Source organism: Homo sapiens, chromosome 3, assembly GCF_000001405.40.
Source record: "Homo sapiens chromosome 3, GRCh38.p14 Primary Assembly".
Lineage (NCBI taxonomy): Eukaryota > Metazoa > Chordata > Mammalia > Primates > Hominidae > Homo > Homo sapiens.
The window spans coordinates 171,534,194-171,557,869 of NC_000003.12; the positions used below are offsets into that span (position 1 = coordinate 171,534,194).

At 41.8% G+C, this 23,676-nt stretch overlaps 1 pseudogene, besides 1 other annotated feature; it reads left to right on the plus strand.

The window, feature by feature from the left end:
• Positions 230-422, plus strand: MTCO1P58 (MT-CO1 pseudogene 58; annotated as a pseudogene).
• Positions 21,946-22,240: a silencer, noted in NCBI's record as "tiled region #12788; HepG2 Repressive non-DNase unmatched - State 24:Quies". NCBI's record gives its function as "represses a minimal TATA promoter and a strong SV40 promoter by Sharpr-MPRA in HepG2 cells {active_cell/tissue: HepG2}" and the evidence as "EXISTENCE:reporter gene assay evidence [ECO:0000049][PMID:27701403]".

Below are 23,676 nucleotides of genomic sequence, written 5' to 3' on the forward strand. Positions count from 1 at the left end.
TAGGTGGTGGAGGTGGTTTCAGGATGAAACTGTTCCACCTCAGATCATCAGGCATTAGCTTCTCATCAGGAGTGCATTACCGAGATCCCTTGAGTGTGCAGTTAACAATAGGGTTCATGCTTCTGTGAGAATCTAATGCCATCCCTGATCTGATAGAAGGCGGAGCTCAGGCAATAATGCTTGGTTGCCCGCTGCTCACTTCCCGCTGTGCGGCCCAGTTCCTAACGGGTTCGGATATATGGATATAGTCTGAGCCATGATATCAATTGGTTTCCTAGGATTTATTGTATGGGCCCACCCCATATTTACAGTAGGAATAGACGTAGATACACGAGCCTACTTCACCTCCGCTACTATAATTATCGCCATTCCCACTGGCGTCAAAGTATTTAGTTGGCTCGCTACGCTCCACGGAAGTAACACCAATGATCTGCTGCAGTACTCTGAGCCCTAGGGTTTAGAAGTGTTGTTATGCATGCTTAGCTTTATAGCATGTTGGGTCAGACATGATAAAGGGCAGCTCGGGTTGCATTGTAATTTGGTTGCTCACAGTTAAGCATTTAGTCTCTATTAAGACCCAGTAGCAGGCCAAGAGCTGCTTCTCAAAAGGAGAGTAGTTATCTGCAGAGGATGGCAGGGCCTTGCTGCAATATCTTAAGGGCCTGTGTTGCAATTCACTTAGGGGGACCTTCCAAAGGCTGCAAACAGCATCCCTAACTTCTACTGACCCTTCAAGCACCATTGGAGCTGCTAGATCATATGGCCTAAGTGGCAGGGCAGCTTGCACAGCAGCCTGGACCTGCTGCAGAGCCTTCTTTTGTTTTGAACCCCACTAAAACTAGCAGCTTTTAAGGCCACTAAGTAAATGGGCCAGAGTAACACACTCAAATAAGAAATACATTGCCTCCAAAATCCCGGTGGGTGTTGTGCTTCTTTCTTGGTTGTAGGAAGGGCCAAATGCAACAACTAGTTCTTCACCTTTCATGGGAGATTTCAACATGCCCCATACTACTGGACACCAGGAATTTCACTGAGGTAGAGGACCCCTGAAATTTCGCTGAATTTATTTCCTATCCTCTGACATGCAAATATCTTACCAAAGAGTCAGAAGTAATTGCGACTCGCTCACTAGGTACAGTCAGTATGATGTCATCAGTTTGATATCTTGTGGAAGGGAAAATCAATCAAGATCTGTTAATTAAATTATGACATAGGACTGGAGGGTTGATAACCTTCTTAGGTAGGACAGTGAAGGTGTATTGCTGGTCTTTCCAGCTGAAAGCAAACTGCCTCTGGTGGACAGGTATAGAGAATAATGCACTTACTAGATTAATAGCTGCATACCAGGTACCAGGGGATGTGTTAATTTGCTCAAGCAATGAAACCACATCTGGGACAGCAAGTGCAATTGAAGCCACAACCTGGTTAAGCTTACAATATAATTCACTGTCATTCTCCAAGATCCATCTATCTTCTGCACACACCAAATAGGCAAGTTGAATGGGGATGTGATAGGAATCACCATGCCTGTGTCTTTCAAGTCCTTGATGATGGCGCTAATTTCTGCAATCCCCCCAGAAATGTATTGCTTTTGGTTTACTATTTTCCTAGGTAGAGGCATTTTTAATGGCTTCCACTATAGGCTTTCCCACCGTAATAGACTTTCCCTAGGTCAGGGAATTGATGTTGAGTTTCTGTCAGCTGCTAAATATGTCCACTCCAATTATGTATTCTGGAACTGGGGAAATACTCACAGAATTGGTTTGGGAAATTGGAAGAAACATGATTGGAAAATTGATGACAAAGAGATTTTGATTTATAGATAGACAGAAATCCTCACCAGCTGCCTATCTATCTTGTCCCTAGGAACACTGCATTCTATTTGTCAGCTCCATAGATCCTTGTGGATCAGACCTTCCTGACTGCCCATTATGTCCTGCCTTATGTCCTTGCTCTGATGGTCGTGTTTCCATTTGGCTTCTGCTTTCCCAGACCCTATATCTGTTGTTATTAGGAAGCCCAGTGCTGTAAAGTCCTTAGCTATAAAGCAGCGGTTGCCAACATTTTTAGCACCAAGGACTGGTTGTGCGGAAGACAGTTTTTCCATGGATATAGGTGGTGGGGGATGGTTTCAGGATGAAACTGTTCCACCTCAGATCATCAGGCATTAGCTTCTCATCAGGAGTGCATTACCAAGATCCCTTGAGTGTGCAGTTAACAACAGGGTTCATGCTTCTATGAGAATCTAATGCCATCCCTGATCTGATAGAAGGCGGAGCTCAGGCAATAATGCTTGGTTGCCCGTTGCTCACTTCTCACTGTGCGGCCCAGTTCCTAACGGGTTCGTGGCCCAGGGGTTGGATGTCCCTGCTATACAGGACAGCTACTACTGAGCTTCTCAGTGATGCTGGTGGCTCTCTCACCATCATTTTTCTTGCCTTAGACATTAGAGCATCCTCCAGGCCCTCTGCTTTTTTTTTTTTTTTTTTTTGGCGATGAAGTCTTACTCTTGTTGCCCAGGCTGGAGTGCAATGGTGCAATCTCGGCTCACTGTAACCTCCACCTCCTGGGTTCAAGCAATTCTCCTGCCTCGGCCTCCCAAGTAGCTGGGATTACAGGCACCTGCCACCACACCTGGCTAATTTTTGTATTTTTAGTAGAGACAGGATTTCACCATGTTGGCCAGGCTGGTCTCGAACTCCTCACCTCAGGTGATCTGCCCACCTCAGCCTCCCAAAGTGCTGGGATTACAGGCGTGAGCCACTGCACCAGGCCGGCCCTCTGTATTTGTCTGCTAGTTCTGCCATGCAAAATACTACAGATTGGGTGGCTAAAGCAACAGAAATTTATTTTCTCACAGTTCTGGAGGTTGGAAATCCAATAAACATGCCAAGAGGTTGGGTTTCTAGTGAGGCTTCTCCCCCTGGCTTGCAAATTGCTGCCTCCTTGCTGTGTCCTCATATGGTCTTTCTTCCGTGCATGCGTGCAGAGAGAGACAGATCTCTGGTGTCTCTTCCTCTTATAAGGGCACCAGTTTTATTAGATTAGGGCCCCACATTATGACCTCATTTGACCTTAATTCCCTCCTTAAATTTCCTATCTCCAAATACAGTCACACTGGGGGTCAGGGCTTCAACAAATGAGTCTGGGGGGCAGGCACAATTCAGTTCATAACACTTTTCCAGGACACATTGTTAGCCAGTTGGTTTTCTAGTCTTATATTGTAGATTCTTTCCAGCTGGCTCAGTTTGCTGTGCTTTTTGATTCCTTCTTCCATGCCATACTTCTTTTAAGGTGGGTCATTCCTTTTTTATTCCAGGGGTCTTCTTAGCAGCAGATTAATATAATCTGGCTCCTGTGGCCCCTGCGATATTAAATCCAGTGTTACGGGAAATTTTCCACATACTGGCAAGCTATTATGCAGCTTTATATTACACTCTACTCCCCTGGATATGGCACCCTCAAGATCTTCTCCCGGAAACACTCCTGATTCCTGCTGGTAAATGTAATCCAGGTATTGCAGCTCCTTCAGCATGTAACTCCTCTCCTTCCTTGGCAGACTCAGCATTCCCTAGTCAGGTCACATTTAGCTTAGAACCTAGTTATTAGTGAGCATGCCCGGAGGAGAGGTAAGGGCAGATCCTGAGGAGGAAAAGCATTATCTTATAAGCCATTTGCATAATATTCAAACAAGGAGGAGGGATACTTCTGCAAGCCCAGAATGTTCAGGTGGATCGAGGTTCTCAGGGGCGTCTACCTATATATCTCTATCCTAAGCCTCAGACTACCACACCTTCCCTATCAGACCTCTGACTTTGACATAGGGCTTCCCTACACAGAATTCAGCTTCTCTTAGAGTTCTGCTTCTCCTAAAATTCTACTTCTCTTACAATAATTGTGCATGGCATTCAGCTCACTATGCCCTCTGGGAAAAGGAAATGTCCAGGAGTCCCCTTGGCACTCACACTTTGCCTTGATTTAGCTACTCAATTTCACAGTACTTAAGAGTTAATTCTTCGTATCTTTCAAGTGCCAGAGACAAGGCACAAACTAGTGCATCCCTTTCCCCGATATTCCATCCCTTCTCTCTGCAGGTGAAAGTTTTAGCAATTGTTTTATCACAGCATGCTAGGAGTTACCAATACCTACCACCAATGAGGAAGTCCTCATTGTCATCTATATGATGAGTTAACCAATTCCAGGATCCCATCATTAGAGTCTGGTCCCAGAATCACTTTTGGGCATTGCCTTAGGTCAGGTTGCCTTGAAGAAGCCTAAGAAGAGGCAAGTGATTTACTGAGGGAGTGCTCTTAGGTAAAACCTGTAAGAGAGTGAGGAAAGTAGGTTACAGCAGGGAAAGAATCCTAAAGCAGTTTCAGCTGAAATCCTGCCTTGGCCTGATCCCACAGGGAGCTCTAGGATGTGAGTGGCACCACAGAGTTCGTTTGAGTCAAGAGGGCTGAGCATTTATATCAGTTTGCATACTGCCTCCTGTGGACAAAGGGAATTCTTTTTTTTTTTTTTTTTTTTTTTAAGACAGAGTCTCGCTCTGTCGCCCAGGCTGGAGTGCAGTGGTGCAATCTTGGCTCACTGCAACCTCTGCCTTCCGGGTTCAAGCAATTCTCCTGCCTCAGCCTCCTGAGTAGCTGGGACTACAGGTGCCCGCCACCATGCCCGGTTAATTTTTTGTATTTTTAGTAGAGACGGGGTTTCACCGTGTTAGCCAGGATGGTCTTGATCTCCTGACCTCGTGATCCACCCGCCTTGGCCTCCCAAAGTGCTGGGATTACAGGCGTGAGCCACCGCGTCCAGCCGACAAAGGGAATTCTTACGAAGCCATTAGCCAACATTCTCAGCAGTTGGGGTAAGAGGCAACTGGGCAGGGCACCTCCAGGGCCTACTACAAGGCTTTGTAACATCTGGTATATTTCTCCCCTATGTTCACTGTATTACGTGTTGAGAGCATAGCATATTTACTTTTTCTAGTTATATTGTTAGCATTTCCTAATGTCATTTTTTTCTATATGTCATATTTACTGGCTATACTAATATCTTTAATTTATTTAGCTATTCTCCTGTTGATAGATGGATCATTTTAAAGTTTGCTATTGTAAATAATGCTAGAATAATTGTCATTAGTCTTGATGTATTATTTTCATAAATTGTTAGATTCAGTTTGATCAAATTTTGGTAATTTTGCATTTATATTCATGAGAGAGATTGGCCTGTAGTTTTCTTTTAATGTAATGGCTTTGCCTGGTTTTGGTATCAGGGTAAAGCTGGTTACAGAAAATTAGTTTGGGAGTTAAATTTAGTCAGGTTATTTCTTTCTCCTTTACTAAGCTTTGGCAATTTGTGTCTTTGAAGAAATTTCTCCATGTCTTCTAGGTTATGAAATTTGTTGTCAGAAATTTATTTACAATATTCCTTTATTACCTTTTAATGACCATAAGATCTAGAGTGATGACCCCTCTTTTATTCCTGATATTGTTATTTAATTTCTTCTCTCTTCTTGATCAGTCTGGCTAGGAGTTCATAATTGTATTTATCTTTTCAAAGAAAAAGATGGACACTTAGACTATGGACTTAAGACTTTTATTTTCTTCTAATATAAGTAATTAATGCTATAAATTTCTCTCTAAGCACTATTGCTGCATCCCACAGATTTTGATGTGTCGTATTTTTAATTTTATCCTATGAAAATATTTTCTAATTTCTTTTTGTTATTTCTTATTTGAGCTATGGGTTATTTAGAAGTGTGTTATTTATTTTCATGTATTTAAGGATTTTCCAGATGGCTTGCTATTTGATTTCTAGAATAATTCCACTGTGGTCAGAAAACATACTCTGTATTATTTGAATTCTTTTTTATTTATTTAGCCCATTGAGACTTCCACTTTTTTTTTTTTTTTTTTTTTTGGCCCAGAATATGAGCTATAATTGTGACGGGTTCTGCTGTTGTTGGGTATAAGCATTCTGTAAACATCAACTAGGTCATGTTTGTTGATAGTGTTGTTCAAGTCATTTATGTGCTTGCTGATTTTTGCCAACTTGTTCTATCAATTCCCAATAGAAGAGTATTAAAATATCCAAATATAATTGTGAGTTTGTCTATTTTTTAAATTTTATCAGTTTTTGCTTCATGTATTTTGGAACTTTGTTACTGGATGAATACATGTTAAGGATTATTGTGATGTCTTAATTAATTGACTTCTTTATAATTATGTAATGTTCCTTTTCATCTCCAGTAATAGTCCTTGTTCTAAAGCTGACTTTGCTTGATATTAATATAGTCACTATAGTTTTCTTTTTGTTAATGTTTACATAGTCATTTTTTATCATCCATTTCTTTCAATCTAGCTGTGTTGTTTTACTTAAAGTGGGTTCTTTACAGATAATATATAATTTGTCTTGTCTTTTAATCCACACTGATAATTTCCCTTTTAATTGGAGTGTTTAGACGATTTATGTTTGATGTAATAATTGATATGGTTTTAAAATGTCATGCTGCTGTTTGTTTTCTATTTGTCTTATCTGTTCTTTGTTTCTTTCTTCCTCTTTTACCCCCTTTTCTAACTTTATTTTTTTATGATCTCATTTTATCTCCACCATTGGTTTATTAGCTGTGCTTCTTTAGTTTTGTTGTTGTTATTGCTTATTTTTAGTGACTGCTCTAGAATTTTTTTTTAGACAGAGTATTGTTCTTGTTGCCCAGGCTGGAGTGCAGTCGTGTGATCTCAGCTCACTGCAACCTCCGCCTCCCAGGTTCAAGCAATTCTCCTGCCTTAGTCTCCTGAGTAGCTGGGATTACAGGCACCTGCCACCACGCCCAGCTAATTTTTGTACTTTTAGTAGAGACGGGGTTTCGCCATGTTGGCCAGGCTCGTCTCAAACTCCTGACCTCAGATGATCCATCTGCCTTGGCCTCCCAGATTGCTGGGATTACAGGCATGAGCCACTGTGCTGGCTTCTAGAATTTATCTTTAGCTTATCATAGTCTACCTTCAACTCTGCATATGGTATGAGATTCTTTCATTTATCTCCTCTTTAGTCCTTGGTAGTATTATTGTCATTGGCTTTATCGCTGCATGTGCTAAAACTCCTACAATTAAAGAATGAGAAAAAAAGGTTTTTATGTATATCCTCATATTTTCCATTTCCTGTTTTTTACTCCTTTGTTAGATCCAAATTCTCCACTGACATCAGTTTCCTTCTGCCTGAAGAATTTCCTTTAGCATGTCTTGCAGTGGAGGTCTACTGACTTTTGTTTGTATGAAAAAGTCTTTATTTTGTCTTTGTTGTGAAAGATATTTTTGGTGGGAATATAATTCTACATTGACCGTTGTTTTTTCTTTCAGTCCTTTAAGATGTCACTTCATTGTCTCCTGGCTTGCATAGTTTCTTACAAGAAATACGCTCTAATGCTACCTTGTTTCTTGACACGTAAAGGGGTTTCTTTTCTCTGGCTGCTTTTTATTACTGTTTTTCACCAAGTTAACTATAATGTGCTTTTATGTATTTTTCTTTATGTTTATTCCATTTGAGTTTTGTTGAGATTCTAAGGTCTATACATTTACCACTTTTCATAAATTTTGGAAATTTCAACTATTATTTATTAGTTCTTCAAATATTTGTTTTCCTTCTCTCCTCTACTCTTAGAACTGCATTTACTATATTTTAGACAACTTGATATTTCCCCAAATGTCATGGAGCCCTCACTCCCTTCCTTCCTACCTTCCTCCCTTCCTCCTTCCCTTCCTTCCTTCCTTCCTTCCTTCCCTCTTTCTCTCTTTCTTTTTCTTTCTTTCTTCAGAGTCTCATTCTGTTGCCCAGGCTGGACTGGTGTGGTCATAGGTCACTGCAGCCTGTAACTTTCGGACTCAAGCAATCCTCCCACTTTAGCCTCCCCAGTAGCTGGGATTATAGGTGCATGCCACCATGCCCAGCTAATTTTTTCATTTTTTGTAGATATAGAGTCTTACTATGTTCCCAGGCTGGTCTCAAGCTACTGGACTGAAGCAATCCTCCTGCCTTGGCCTCCCAAAGCACTGACATTACAGGCATGAGTTACAGAGCCCAGCCTATTAATTTTTTAAAAATATTTTTTTCTCCCTGTGCTTCATTTTGGGTAATTTTTGTTGTTGGGTCTTTATGTTCACTAATTTTTTATTTTATAGTATTAGTCTGCTGTTACTTTTATTCAGTGTATTTTTTATTTAGAATATATTTTCATATCTAGATGTTCCACTTGAGTCTGTTAAAAAATATCTTCCATTTCTCTTGTTGTTATATTCATGTTTTGCTTTACATTTTCAAGCACATGGCACATACCTCTAATAACTGGTTCAGGTCTTTTCTAATTCCATAATCTCTGTCATCTCTAATTTTGTTCATATTGATTGATTATTAGCCTGACTATGGGTCATATTTTTCTCTTCTTCTTGCCTGGTAACTTTTTACTAGGTGACAGCCATTGTAGATATAATTTTGTTTGTTTTTTGTTGTTGTTGTTTATGGGTGCCAGATTTTGTTGAATTCTTTTAATAAGTGTGGACCTTGTTCTGATAGGCAGTTAAGTTACTTGGAAACAGTTTAATTCTTTCAAGCCTTGTTTTTAAGCTTTTGTTAGGCTGGGTCCAGAGCTTTGTTAGGCTGGGTCCTGGCTTTGTTTTAGGGTTAATTTAGCTCAACTAGAAAATGCACTTTGAGGGCTCAGCCCAATTCCCTGTGTATTATGAGGCCTCTTTACTCTGACTGATGGAAAAGCGAACATTTCCCAGCCGTGTGTAAACTCCAAGAATTACTGAGCTTACTTCTTTCTGGCTTTTCTTTTTCCAGCGTCATAGTTTTACCCCACACATGCACAGGTCAGCAGCAGTCAAAGATTCGAAGGGGCCCTTCTGCAGAGCTCCACAGTGCTCTGTCTGTGTGTCTCCCTCATTTCTGGTCCTTTGCCCTGGCCTCCCTGAAACCTGATCTCCACCTCCTTACTCAATGAGACTGCTATACCTGTTTGGGTTTCCTTTTTCCTGCCCTGCAGCCTGGAAACTGCCTCCAGGAAGTAACTGGGGTAGTCATAAGGAGGGCTCACATCATATGCTTCCCCTCTCCCAGAGATTACAGTCCTGCTTTGCTTTCTGTCCAAAGACTGCAAACAGTTGTTTCATGTATTTTGTCCATTATTCTAATGGAATATGTCAAGGAGGTAATTCTGTCACAGCTATTCCTTCATGGGCAGAACAGAAATCTATTTCACATTTTTCAGGCATTTTCTACCACTTGTCTTCTTTTAGTGTCCTCAGCATAACTTTCAAAATAATTATATGAGATACGTGTGTGTATGTGTGTGTATATGTGCATCTGTATATATGAGTATGTGTGTAATTATCCTCACTGTCCAAAATCGTTGGTTCTCTGAGTTCAGATAGGGAGATTCTTGACAAGAGAGTTTGGATAGCAAGGGATGCCTTGTTATCTGAATCAATTTGGTTCTCGACGTTTAGCTAGTGAGTAGCAGAGTTGGAAGGGGGAGCAGAGAGGATTCTCAATCAGGGTCCCAGTCAGAAAGTAATGGTTAATTCAACGGGTTTAATGAAAAAGGGGTAAAAGAGAATGTTAGCTAGAGAGTGGTGGGCAAGATTAAGGGAACCAACAGGAACCCAAATACTAGCACCAATGGGAAGCAGTTAACATCCCTAGTCCTAAAGGGACAAAGAGAAGGAATGTTTTTCCCAAGGCCACCCAATAGGATCTGCGGCTGTAGAGGGGCTCGGCCCCTGCTGAGGTTGTGGCCAGGCTCTAAGGAAATGGATATCGGAGAGGCCTTCGTTGTGGTTCCCTAGAAGCAGACTCTGAAGCAAGGATTTGCGTGTAAGTGAATGATTGAGGAAGTGCTCTCTGGAGACACACATGAGAGAAACAGGGAACCAAGACAGGGAAAGAGGGAAAGCCTTGCAAATTACAGATTCAAGCAATGTCCCAGCACCAGCCCAACCCCAGAGGTTGCTCTGGCGTGAAATCATATATCAGAGTCATCACCCTTCAGAGTTTTTCCCACCTCAAGGCAAGGGAGCTGGTTTTCAACCTCTTACCTCAGTGGTTGGCTAATGTCCAGAGGTGACATAAGCTTCCAGACACCCCCCAGCTGTCTACCTGTACTGGGTGAAGTGGCTCTGTGGCCCAAAGTGGGCTTCTGAGGAAAGCTGCAGGTGTCAGCCAACAGAAACAAAGGACATAGAAACCAGGAAATGGATGCTCAAAAACAGGCATGTGGGTGTGGCACCAACAGTGTTTATCACAGTAGAGGAGGGAAATAGATACCCCAAACACGCTCACCATTGATCTCCCATTGGCCACGCCCAATTAGAAGCTGGAGGGCAAGGCAACCCAGGGGATGCTATCCTAGTTGTCAGCCTCTGGGGCTTAGAGTAGGCACTGGAGGGTGGAAAATGGATCTGGATGGAGAGCAAAGGGAGAATAAATAGGAGAGGACAGCATAGATCTAAAATTTTATACATATCTATTTGGTCCTTAAATTCAAAAAGTGATAGTCTGGAAAGCAAGAGATACTTGTATGTGTGTAATGTATCACACACATACAAGTCTAGTCTAATAAACGTAAACTAATGTTTATTAGACTAATAACCATAATATAATGGCATGGATTATACCCTCAATGTTACTTCTGTGACTGTAGAGCAACCTCTCTGGGTTAATTCCTTATTTATAAAATTTCAAAACACAACAACAAAAAAATGCATGTCTTCTATCTTCAGCAGGGAAGAGTTATGAAAAATAACATACTAAGTGGTTGAGATGAAAAGAACTACTTCTCAATCTTGCTTGACCCTTGGAAACATCTCACTATCTTTTGTGTGTTCAAATTCCAGGTACTGACAATACAGAAATAAAAACATATCCTGGTAGTGTCTTTAAGGAAATAGGATACTGAAAATAAATTGAACAAAATGTCTTTGACACTTGTGATCTTGAGAAATCCTGAATATTATCATTGTCTTCTGCTTTTTTGAAAATTTCACATTTATTTAATTTCTGCCCCTCTGATATTTGACATTAGCGCTCTGGAAAAATATCACCGTTGGTGAAAGCCAAGATTCCAAAGGCCCATGATGAGAGCAATAGTTTATACTGGGAGGAGATGGGCCAGGAAGATATTACCATCATATCTATGGCACTGCAGCCAAAGGCTGTGTTCTGAAAACTCTAGACGACATCATTTCCAATAGTGATATAACTTACTCAAGTCTTCTCTTGAGGCAAACAAACAAAAAACAAAAAAATAAAAAACAAAGATATACCTCAAATCTGGATCCTTTATAAATAGATTTCCATTATATGTGCTCATATGACTTACTTAGGCCCAATGCTATGGACTTATCAGAATCCCGCCTGCCCCATGCTCTGTCTCTTTCTCTCTCTCTCTCTCAATCTGTGTGTGTGTGTGTGTGTGTGTGTGTGTATGCCAGTAACAAAAACTTAACTCAGATTAGTGTGGGCATAAATGGGGATTTATTTGCTCCGTAACTCTACTGGAGAAGTGGCAGCAGAGCCAGTAGAGTTTGGGAGTGGACCTGGCTCTTTTCCCTCTGACTATTCCCTCTGCTTTCATTTTTATGTTGGTTTCATTCTCTCTGACAGGCTTTCTCCACTTGCAGGGAAGTGTAGTCTGGCTCCCATCTCTCCGCTTTACCAGGGGCCTAGGGCTCACCTTCTCTGGTGCCATGTTTTAAAATCCCAGAGAGGGGCTCAATTGTCCTGGCTTGAGTAAAAAAAATCTATGGCCACAGCGATAGGCAACTCTGATTGGGGTCTCTAGGTGAGGTGCTCATTCTTTGGCCAATGAATGGGGTCGGGCATGGGAAAGCAAGAAGACATCAGTTCCCTTTGAACCTTATAGTTAGAGTCAGAGGGAAGAGCAAAGAAGAGGCTGTTGTTCAGGTACACACTGCAAAGTGGATGTGACTACCTTTACTTTAAAGATGAGATAACCAAGTCCCAGAGAGGCCAAGGGACTCATTTAAAACTACAGAGGTAATAAGTGGCAAAGCCATGATTGATGAGAGGCGATATATTATAGAGATTAAAGGCTCACATTCTAGAACCAGATACACTTGAACCGAGATCCCAACTCTTGCCACTTATCAGTATAATTTGGGATAAATTATTTATCTGCCTCTGATTTCTCCCCCTAAATATAGGCATACTGATAGTATCTCTCTCCTAAGAGAGTTGTGAGGATTCAATGAGATAACGTACAGGCACAGTGTAATTGCTGCTTAAATATTTGCTGTAATTATTGGCTAGGATTTAAACTTTTTCAAAGCTGTACCTGTGTGTTTGTGAGTGTCGGGCCCAATAGCTTTGTTCTGTTCTCAGGCCCAATAGCTTTGGAAATTTTACACATGGTCCAAAAGGAAATGAACTGTAGTTATGAACCCAGTCTCCATCATCACTGAGCAATGAGACCACTACCAGTCACTGAAAGGGCTTGAGAAATTGACTGGAAATCCAAACCCAGTCTCAGAAATCAAGGTCTCCAGCCAAGTCTTCTTACCAGAGGGGATTCTGTCCATTTACCTGAAGAGCTAATGTGGCCTCCCACCTTAGAGTGCTTACGTCATCCGTGCTTCCAGACTAGACTCAGGGAACTGTGGCCAGTCACTCACTCAGTCAACATGCTTATTGAGCACTTATTGTGTGTAGACCCTGAGCTCTGCAGATGTTTGATATTTATGCATCAAGAGTCTCTCCTAGGTGGAAAATCAGAAGGGCACTGATTTCTTGGATGGAAGACCAGTAGGAGAGGAAACCTCCTAAAAACACATATTATCTGACAAAATTCTCCTTGAAACCAAGGTCGAGGAAATTTGAAAAAATTTTCAAGGGTAAGAAATTATGAATGGAAATTAAGTATGTATTATCCATCGTTACTAACTCATGGTATATAAAAACATTAATGATACTCTCTTAAAAGCACAAAATGCACTTTTTTTGCATAGGACAAACTTTTCATGAGCAAATTACAAAGAGAACATTTCTGGCAAAATAGCTGATGTACTTACTCATGAATGATGCCTTAGCTTGATAACCTGTGAAGAATGCCTATTATTCACGGTTTATTGATAGGTATTCATTAATTATAATATTTTGTGAATCCATGGATTCCTTTATTCCCAGTTTTCACAGTGTTCACAACTAATAATTAATTCCTCCAACATCTTAGGGGCAAATTTAAAGATAACTGCAGTAAAACTTGTACTGATGTTCAGATCACGGTTTTGTTGCTTGAAGTCTTGGACTAAGGAACAACTGGTTCCCAAGTTATACCCGGGGGGACCCCATAAAGGGAACCTCTTCATATGCTATCAAAGAAAGAAATTCGCAGTATGAGAGAGTCATAAATGATAGTGGTATTTACAGCTGGCATGACCTGTTAGGTAAACCAGAATCTATGTAGAGTTACTGGGAAAAGTTCCCTGGATCTCACTAAAGCTCCCAACATCAGCTTTCATAATAGGAGGGAGATGCTTTCTCCAGTCACCCAACTTCTACCCAAGGTGCAGGTAGAGAGATGGCATGATACGGTGGGGAGAGCCTTGGCGTAAGAGTCCGGGGGCCATTATTGGTTCTGTCACTACTTGGCTGTGTGACCTTCAGTGAGTCACTTTACCGCGCAGAGCCTCTATTTCTTCATTCACAAAACTAGTTTGGATTAGTTGTACGTCACAAATGGGCAACCTACATGAAAACATTGGCCAGTAGTTTTGTTTTCATTGGCCCACATGGTGTTTCTAAAAATGCATATTCTTTCTGGTTTGCTATAGCCCCTACTTTTTCTAATTATCGTATATCCAGTCTTCTTCACTTGTTTATGTCAGTTTTCTGGCCCCTATAAACCTTGAGTTTTGGAATCCCTGGGATATATAATCTCTGATGTTGCTCCCACCTCTGATACCCAGAGACTCCAGGTCTTGGGAGGTTACCAAGCTCTAACAGTCAGGTAGGAGAAAAATTACAACACTGTGAAGTTTTGGAGTTCTTTTGTTGTTGTTTTTTATTTTTTTGTGTTTTTTTCTGAGACCCATTCTCCCTCTGTTGCCCAGGCTAGAGTACAGTGGTGTGATCTTGGCTTGCTGCAGCCTCCACCTCCTGGGTTCAAGCAATCCTTCCGCCTCAGCCTCCCAAGTAGCTGGGACTACAGGTGCCCACCACCACACCCAGCTAATTTTTGTATTTTTAGTAGAGATGGGGTTTGCCATGTTGGCCAGGCTGGTCTCGAACTCCTGACCTCAGATGATCCACCCACCTTGGCCTTCCAAAGTGCTGGGATTACAGGCATGAGCCACCACGCCCACCCAGAGTTCTTTTTTTAATGCTTTCCAGACTCCCCCATCTGGAAGCTGATGATGTAATCTCCTAGGCCTCTTCCTGTAAATCCCCTAAAGCCAGGGTCTCCATTACAGTCACAGAATGAGCCTTTTCTCTCCCTTGTTCATAGTAAATGATATCACACAGCTTGTGTCCTTGACTTTTTTTCTAATTCTGTCTCCTTGATCTTAAAGGCCAGCTAAGGCTATCACCTACAGGGCAAAGAAGCTCTTATTAAGAGCAAGGCTTGATCAGTGATGTGGCAAAGACAGCTGAAAAAGAAAAGGTAAATGCAGTGAGAGTCCCCCCTCCCACACCAAATTTAAGTTAGAAAGGAGTCTTAAAGGAAGGCTAGTTACTTCTAGGATTATCTTCTGTAGATTTCCAAACTTCTTGACTCTTTACAGCAGCTCTAGCCTTTCCTAGTTGAGTTGGTTTCATTTAGCTATCTGGTGGGGCTCCCTTTCTGTAGGGGAATTTGTTCATGTTGACCTAAGGGCACACAGCTGCCGTCAGCCTCTGGGGCACAGGATCTCCGTACAAAGCAACCCTGTACTGTAGGAAGTTCTCCACACATGTCTGCACACAGGAGTTCTGTCATTAACATGGTCCCGGTCACCCGGTGGAATGCACAGAGGGTGGGGAAAGTGGCTTCTTTCTCAAAAGCCTTCTTTTTATAAGGCTTGGATCCCTGACAACTGGAATTTTCTTTTATAGCTGAAAAAACATATTTCCCTTAAACACCACCCAGGCAGTCGTATGTCCTTAAGGTCAAAGAGATGAGACAAGAATTGAAGAGGACCCAACTACAGATCAATTTGCCTAAATGTAGAGTTTGTCTGCCTATGAAATGAAGAAGTTGCTTCCATAAGCCACATAATTATTGTGGTTTAGTAATTAACTCTCCTTTCTTAAATAGTTAATTTCCCCCAATAATAAAAATCAGTCATACCCACTATAGAAAATAAAGGGAGTAAATAACAATCACCCATACTTTTACCACCCCCAAATTTTATTTAAGCACAACCTGGAGTCTGGAGAGTTTTTTCTATGCATAAGTATATTTTTAAAAATGTACTTGAGATCATACTAGTCTCATCTCTTAAAGTCACACTTTCCTTTTCAGGACATTATGAAATCTCTCCGAGAGAAGTTAAAAGCTAAATTTTTTCACTTAATTTATTTGTAATAAAATTTTCAATGATTTAGGAGAGATGGGAACATCTGTCCAGGACTATAGAGTTTTAGCCATTGACAGAAGATAGGTATTCCATACTTCCTTTAAGATGCCATGAGTTGTAGCTTTATTGGGCTTACATCACACAAACAAAACCTGAAATTCTTGCCCATGTACATTTTACGTATGACTTCTAGCCATCTGTTCAGATTCACCATTAATAAAAATATTTAGGAAAATAATTCTATTTCTTATTCCTATTGTTATTGTCTCCTAGCAAACCTCTGAGATTTGACTTAGAACCACTAGTTTTTAAGCAGCCTTGGGAGAAGTCCCCATGTATCCAAGGATTTTGCCTTGAGACTAGAAATAAAAGTGATTCTTATGGAGAGTGGGGTACACACAAGGGAATGAAAACCTAATATGTGTTTTTGGTGTTAAAAATAAATGAAAGGCCGGGCGCGGTGGCTCACGCCTGTAATCCCAGCACTTTGGGAGGCCGAGGCGGGCGGATCACGAGGTCAGGAGATCGAGACCATCCCGGCTAAAACGGTGAAACCCCGTCTCTACTAAAAATACAAAAAAATTAGCCGGGCGTAGTGGCGGGCGCCTGTAGTCCCAGCTACTTGGGAGGCTGAGGCAGGAGAATGGCGTGAACCCGGGAGGCGGAGCTTGCAGTGAGCCGAGATCCCGCCACTGCCCTCCAGCCTGAGTGACAGAGCGAGACTCCGTCTCAAAAAAATAAATAAATAAATAAAAAATAAATGAAAAAGAAGCTCATGTTCAGCCTCAAGCTTTAAGCAGATTGGCTAGCACCATCTAGAAAATATGAGCTCTAGCAAGAGAGCTAGAACCCCCTTTTCCGTGTTATACTAATCTTCAAGGTGAAGAGCCTCTAAGATGAACACTAGTCGAGGAATTCTACAATGATGGAGGGACAGCTATACTAGGAGTACTGATTTTTGCTCTGTTCCAGCCAGGCCAATCTTCAGATTTAGGGCATAGAGATCCCTGATACTGTCACACAAGGCAGTTCTCAAGGTTGCAAATGTGTTCAGGGCTCTTCGTCCCCAATCGGAACATGCATCAGAACCACACAGATGACTGTCCTTCTGTGGAGTAGTTACAGAGATGAACGTCATTGACCCCCTCAGTGATTTAGAGCAAACAAGGAGGCAGAGAAAATGAAATGCAAAGCTGCTTTATCAGGAAAGGAGTACTATATGCAATTATGTGAACTTTCCCTAGCGGCCCAGATAAATGACAGTTTTCAAAATTCTTAGCACCTAATTTACTCAGGCCTTGAAAAACAAGAACTTTGTCTGAAGCTGGGCATTTACTAGGTGGACATCATGCCCCAGGGAGCATGAATGTTTAAGAGGTTTGCTGAAATATGGATAACAGTTATTTTGATTAACTTGGTCCAATTGGCACTGAGGTCAAAATTTTGTTAACCAGAGTTCAACTATTTATACTTCTCTATTAACTTAAACCCTAGTCTCATGCTGATTTTAGGTGAAGGAGCACATGATTAGAAAATGTAAGCAACTTGAGTACAGAAATTGAGTACTTTCTTTCCTTCTCTTATCTTCTTTGTAAGCAACAATAAACACTTGCTAATTTAAAATGACAGCTTGGATTAGTCACCTGTTTCCCATTTCAAAAAGGACTTCAGAACCTTTTAACCTACATGGTGGCCATGAAAATGCAGATCTTGGAGTGTGGGAGCTTAACAGACCTCCAGCCTCAGCTGCTGTGCTCTAAAATCCATCTGTTTATATGAAGCAGGTGCCCCACAGCCTGCTCTGAACCAACAACTGAGTTAGGCAGAAATGCTAAGGTGGACCTGTTTCTGGGAGACTTGAGGACTCCCCACTGGCCTCGCTGAAATTTTCTTAGAACTGCAAAGTGATGTAAGGTGTTTAAACCCAACTTTCCATCCTTTCTTCTTTCCTCCATAGCGCTCGGACGTGCATCTTGGCTTGATGACTTTCTGGCCTCTTCCAACTTCCTTCCCTTTCCCTCACAGGTACTTTTCTCAATAAATCTCTACACGTCCACCAGTATTAGAAGACTGAATGAACACATGCTATTTGACAGCCATCTAAAGTAGATAAGACAGATCCTCATTATATGAAGTTGGAAATGAATTTTGAAGGGAAATCAATTGTCCATATCACAGAGTTTTTCTTTTCAGCTTATCAGCAGGCTTAAGAAGTCACCTTCACACTTAAAAATAATCTATTTGACCCTACAGTCTCAGTCCTTACCTCACTGGACTCCTCCTGTGCATTTGGTGGGTTGACTACACACTGCTTTGCCCTTGGCTTCTAGAAACCACTTCGTTGGAAACTGTTTCCTAGTCCAGCCCTTGCATGTTGATATCGCCCGGGGGATCATTGTCTTTTCTTTTTTCCATTCATCTATGCTCATGACTTCAACTGTTGCTTGTGTGCTGCCCACCCCCTTATCCACATCTTCTGTTGGGTTGAAGGAATGAATGGTGAAAACAGGACTGAAATCCAAGTTTGGCTAGGAGATCCATCCCCTTTCCATGTGGTCATTTGATTGGTTACAGTGACCCTTATTTGCTACAGGATGTCCAGATAACATAGAAGGAAAAGTTCCATTCACTGCACTATACATCATAAGGCAGGAAGAGAGGCTGATGTTTAATTAGATTCACCAGATGATGAGATAAACGATTTTCTAGGAAATTGTCAATTAATTCATTCAAAAATATATATTGAAAGCTTACTTTGTACATGCCAGAGACTGTTCTAGGTGCAGAAAATTGTGTAATGGGTAAGACAGGTAAGATCCTGCTCCCATGGAACTTCTACTCCAGTGAGAAAAACAAACATATGCATAAGATAATTTCAGAAAGTGATAAGTGCTATGAAAAAAGTAGAAAATATATATATAATAGAGAGTGGTGGAAGTTGGGGGATGACTCATTCAATCAGGTGATCATGAAAGGCCTTGCTAAGGAGTGAGATTTGAACTGGGACCTGAATGATGAGAAGTTGAATATGCAAGTAACTGAGGGGAGAGTGTTCCAGGTAGAGGGGCCAGCAACTGCAAAGGCCCTGAGGTTGAGACGGCTTGACATTTTAGAATAATAGGAAGTAGCCAATATGACTGAAACACAATGGTAGAGAGGGAGAGTAATATAAGATACATTGGAGAGGTAGAAATACCATAGCTCTTATAGGCCTACATAAGAGCTTCAGATCTCATTCTCAGCTGTTAGAAGGTTCTAACCATGGGAGGAATTGGATCTGACTTATATCTGTCTGTTTGTTTTTTTATCACCTTGGCTGCTATTTGGAACGTGGAATGAAGAGTTCAAATAGGAGGGTCAGCTAAGAGGCTTTGAGAGGCTGGTAGTGGCTTGGACCAGGTAGGAACCATGAAGATAGAAAGAAGAGGCTGAATTAGGATTATATGTTTGTACTGAGAGTACTTGAGAGTTTATATGTGGGGAGTAAGAAAAAGAGAAAAAACACGTCTGACTCTTGCATTTTTGGTTTGAGCAACTGGGTGGATGGTGAAACCATTTCCTGAAATTGGGGAAATGGGGAAGAACAGTTTTAAGAGTGAACTCAAGAGTTTCATTTTGGACATGCCAAATTTGAGATATATTAGATATCCCATAGCAGATATTGTGTATGATTAGAAGGCATATATAAGATTGGGGTTTAGGAGAAAGGTCAGTGCTGAAGATACATACATGTCAATGGTTTTAAAACCATGAGAATGGATGAGATCACCTTGAGTTAAGAAGGAAACCCATGGCTGGGCCCAGTGGCTTACGCCTGTAATCTCAGCACTTTGGGAGGCCAAGGCAGGCAGATCACAAGGTCAGGAGATCGAGACCATCCTGGCTAACACGGTGAAACCCCGTCTCCACTAAAAATACAAAAAATTAGCCGGGCATGGCAGCACGCACCTGTAGTCCCAGATACTCAGGAGGCTGAGGTGGGAGAATGGCGTGAACCCGGGAGGCAGAGCTTGCAGTGAGCCGAGATCGCACCACTGCACTCCAGCCAGGGCAACAGAGTGAGACTCCATCTCAAAAAAAAAAAGAAGGAAACCCATGATTTAGAGATAAAGTACAGAAAGAGGAATCAGAAGGAGACAGAAGGAGGGACTACTGAAGTTGGAGAAGTATTTGGAGTGCTCACAAAATGCCAAGTGTTCTGGAAGTGCTTCAGAAAGAAAATAATGGATTAATTGCGTCCGATGTAGCCTGAGAGGCTGAGTAAGCTGAGGCCAGAAAAGGGACATTGGGTTTTGGCAACATAGAGGTTGGAGTTTGTGTTAGTCAAGGTTCTTAGTGTAAGTAAAAGTAAATGACTCCAGCTGATTTAGGTAGAAAAGAAATTTACTTTAAAAGTCTTGGCTGTTTACAGAATTGTGAGAAGAGCTGTTACACCTGGCTAGCAGGCCACACAGACAGGAACAACACCACCTCTAATCTCATGGTGTAATGGGTGTGGTGAGGATCCTACTGGTGCCATTCAATGGAGTATCTGCTATCAATCAAGAGTAGTGGTTCTCGACCTTGTGGCTGCCCATTGGAGTTAGCAGAAGGATTATAAAAATACTAATGCTCAGTCTCCATCTCTAGAGATTAAACCATCTTTATAATACATCCCTTTAAGGTTGGTTTAGACCTCCTTAAAAGGGAGTTTGGATTTAGAATGGGTTGACTTTGGTATAAATAAGTGGTATGGCCTGAGATGCCCCAATTCTGAGGAATGTCTTCTACCATAAAAAGTTGATGTCCCTTGGTGCTGCAGGGACCACGCTGATTCCTGTTACTCCTACCTATGCTCCCTAATTCACCCAGCTGCTGGTCATCCACAGCCCCTAACTCAGTCATTCAGAGTTTCACCAAACCAGAAGTCTCTTTCCTCAGAGCAGGTGGGGCTGACTTTCCATTGCTCTAATGCTAAAGGAGGTTTGGGGTAATACCCTATCTCCATGACTGGGCTATAGATTCTAGAATTGTTCCATGTAAAGAATGAGGATTGGCTGGGCGTGGTGGCTCATGCCTGTAATCCCAGCACTTTGGGAGGCCGATGCGGGCGGATCACTTGAGGTCAGGAGTTCAAGACCAGTCTGGCCAACATGGTGAAACCCCATCTCCACTAAAAATACAAAAATTAGCCAGGCATGGTGGCGCATGCCTGTAATCCCAGCTACTCGGGAGGCTGAGGCAGGAGAATCCCTTGAACCTGGGAAGTGGAGGTTGCAGTGAGCAGAGATCGCACCATTGCACTCTGCAGTCCAGCCTGGGTGACTGAGTGAGACTCCGTCTCAAAAAAAAAAAAAAAATGAGGATCTCTGAAAATAGTCCTTTGTCATCTTTTTAAGCCCAAATAGAGGAAGGTTTCCAGTGAGTTGGGCCATGAAGATGGAGCAGAGGGTATTGCACTATCTACCTGACATAACTGGCCTTTCTAGGAGATGTTGTTTGCTCCTAAAGAGATAGAGAAGGGGAATGATCCTTTTTGGCCCGTTCCCTGACAAAAAGCATACATAACACAATCCTTACGGGAAGGAAGGGCCAAGGGAAGGCAGGGCCGCCTGTCAGCTCCTTAGATGGTCTTCCCATTCCTCAGAATGAGGGCCACTACTACTCCTACCCCATAGTTTGAGTTGCCAAATTTGACTAAGGCAGAAAGCCCATGTGCCTGACTCCTGAGGATCACCTGCTACCCAACTGGCTCTTTGGGGTCAACTCTGGCTGAAATGGGATGAAATCTGGGCCTTGCCTGCCTCAGGGGTGGGGCCTGTGCTAAGTCCCAGGAGTTCATGCTCACCTGCCCTGTATTGCTAAGCACAAAGCATCATGCTGTATACCTGCACCCCCAGATGTACTAATCCTTCTTCTTTCTGGATGTACGAATCCAAACTTATTTATTGGGATGCTGATTTATTTAGAAAATTAAAAATATATTTTGCTCATCTTTTCTGATTACCAAAACAAAATCTGTCCATTGTAGAAAATTTGGAAAATAAAGATATGTACCTAGAAGAAAAATGAAAAAAAAAAAAAACACACTTACTTATGAGAGATAAGGATTGTTAATACTTCATGTTGGTCTTTTTGGTCCCTTTTTACAAATATTTATGTGCAAGTATATGTAGTGTATTATAATGTTAATTATTTCATAACCTGTATCTTAATATATAGTGATCATCTTTCCATATTATTAAATATTTATTCCTCCCAAACAGTACTTTTTGGCACTTACAGGTGGCCGCCTCACAGTGACACCAACCTCAACATGAACTTCCCATTTATAACCTAATCTTGAGATGTAGGGAAGATGATGGAGTTTTTTGCAAAGGAAGGGTGTCCAGACACTTCAAGACATTCAGAGAAAAGACTTTCACAATAGACACAAAATGAAATACAGACCTAGGAAATCCATGTGCTTTTTATGAGAATCTTCATGCAGCAGAAAAGGAAGCAAAAATGACAGAGGATCACCCAGAGACTTATCACTTAGAGCCAGCACACATCATAGACAAGTCCCAGGGCTGAGGTGACAGCAGAAAGGGCTGCACACTGCCAGAAAATCGTCCTGCTTAGTGAGGCAGAAGCAGACGAGGCCACTTCAGGTCAAGCTGTAGCTGGCACAACTCCGTGGTGAGGGTGCCATTTTCCTATTTCTTCCTCCGCCCGAATGAGGGTCAGGGGGAAAGGGCTGACTGCCCTCTTGAAAAGTGAGTGCTCAGAAAGATTACAAAGTCTTTCATGAGAAATGACAATTGTGAAGTGACAGAGAAGATGCAAGGTAAGCCCCACAGAGCTAGAAATCCATAGCCTGTGATTGGGGAGATTGTATCTTTAACTTTTGGATTTCTAAGGACATTTAAAACCTGCCAGAATCATGACTGCTCTGGAGGCACATCTGTGTCTCCATAGCAACAGGCTTCCTGCTGCAAGGTAAACCTGGGATTGCCGCTCTGGTTTCTGTTTGGTGCTGAACACACATGCTTGATGATTGAGGACCTGAAAAATGCTCGTCTGTCATCCTTTTTAGCCCATATGGAGGAAGATCTTCAATGAATGGGGATATCAAAACGGAGCAGAAGTATTTCACTACCTATATAGGTGATTTTCTCTGAGCAGTCTCTTTCCCAACTTTGGAATCAAGCCAGGCCAATGACTGTAACTGGGGACTTCCAAAGTTCCAGAAAGCATTTCCTTGAGAGTTGTTTCTGCCTTATTCTTAGCAAGAGAAACTGCTAGGGTTTGGCTATCCATTACGCTGTTCAAGGTGAAGGTTAGCAACAAAATATGTAATTTTCTTATCCTTTTTTGCTACTGAAGCCACAGATACTGTGGGAGCAACTATGGGCTTCTACTGACACCGTTATCCCTGATAATATTGTAATCTGTGCTTTCTAACTGGCCTGGTTTTGAAAGGAGATAAAATGGGCAATACCTTGTTAGAAAAATAACAATAATATCATTAATTTTGATAAGAACTTATAGAAAAATAAGGGGTGGAAAATCAGTTTTTTAACATGAATCCAACATAACTGAGTCCATACTGTGGATTCAGGTTTTTTTAGGTTATCCAATTCATTCATTCATTCATTCATTCATTCATTCATTCACTACTATGCATTAAGCTTTGCCACTGTGCATGATACTGTAGGAGATGCAAAGATGAAAAAAGACACAGCTCCACTCCTTAACACCTAGTAGCAAGGGAGACAAACCAAGTTTACAAGCAAACATATTATATAATTTAATAAGAGCCCTAAGAGAAGTAAAGATAAATTATACATAAGTTTAAGAAAGGGGCCAAGCGCAGTGGCTCTGGCTGGGCACGGTGGGTCATGCCTGTAATCCCAGCACTTTAGGGGGCCAAGAGGGGTGGACCACTTGAGGTCAGGAGTTCGAGACCAGCCTGACCAACATGGTGAAACCCTGTCTTTACTAAAGCAATACAAAATTAGCTGCGCATGGTGGCATACATCTGTAATCCCAGCTACTTGGGAGGCTGAGACAGGGGAATCGCTTGAACCTAGGGAGGCGGAGGTTGCAGTGAGACAAGATCACACCATTGCACTCCAGCCTGGGC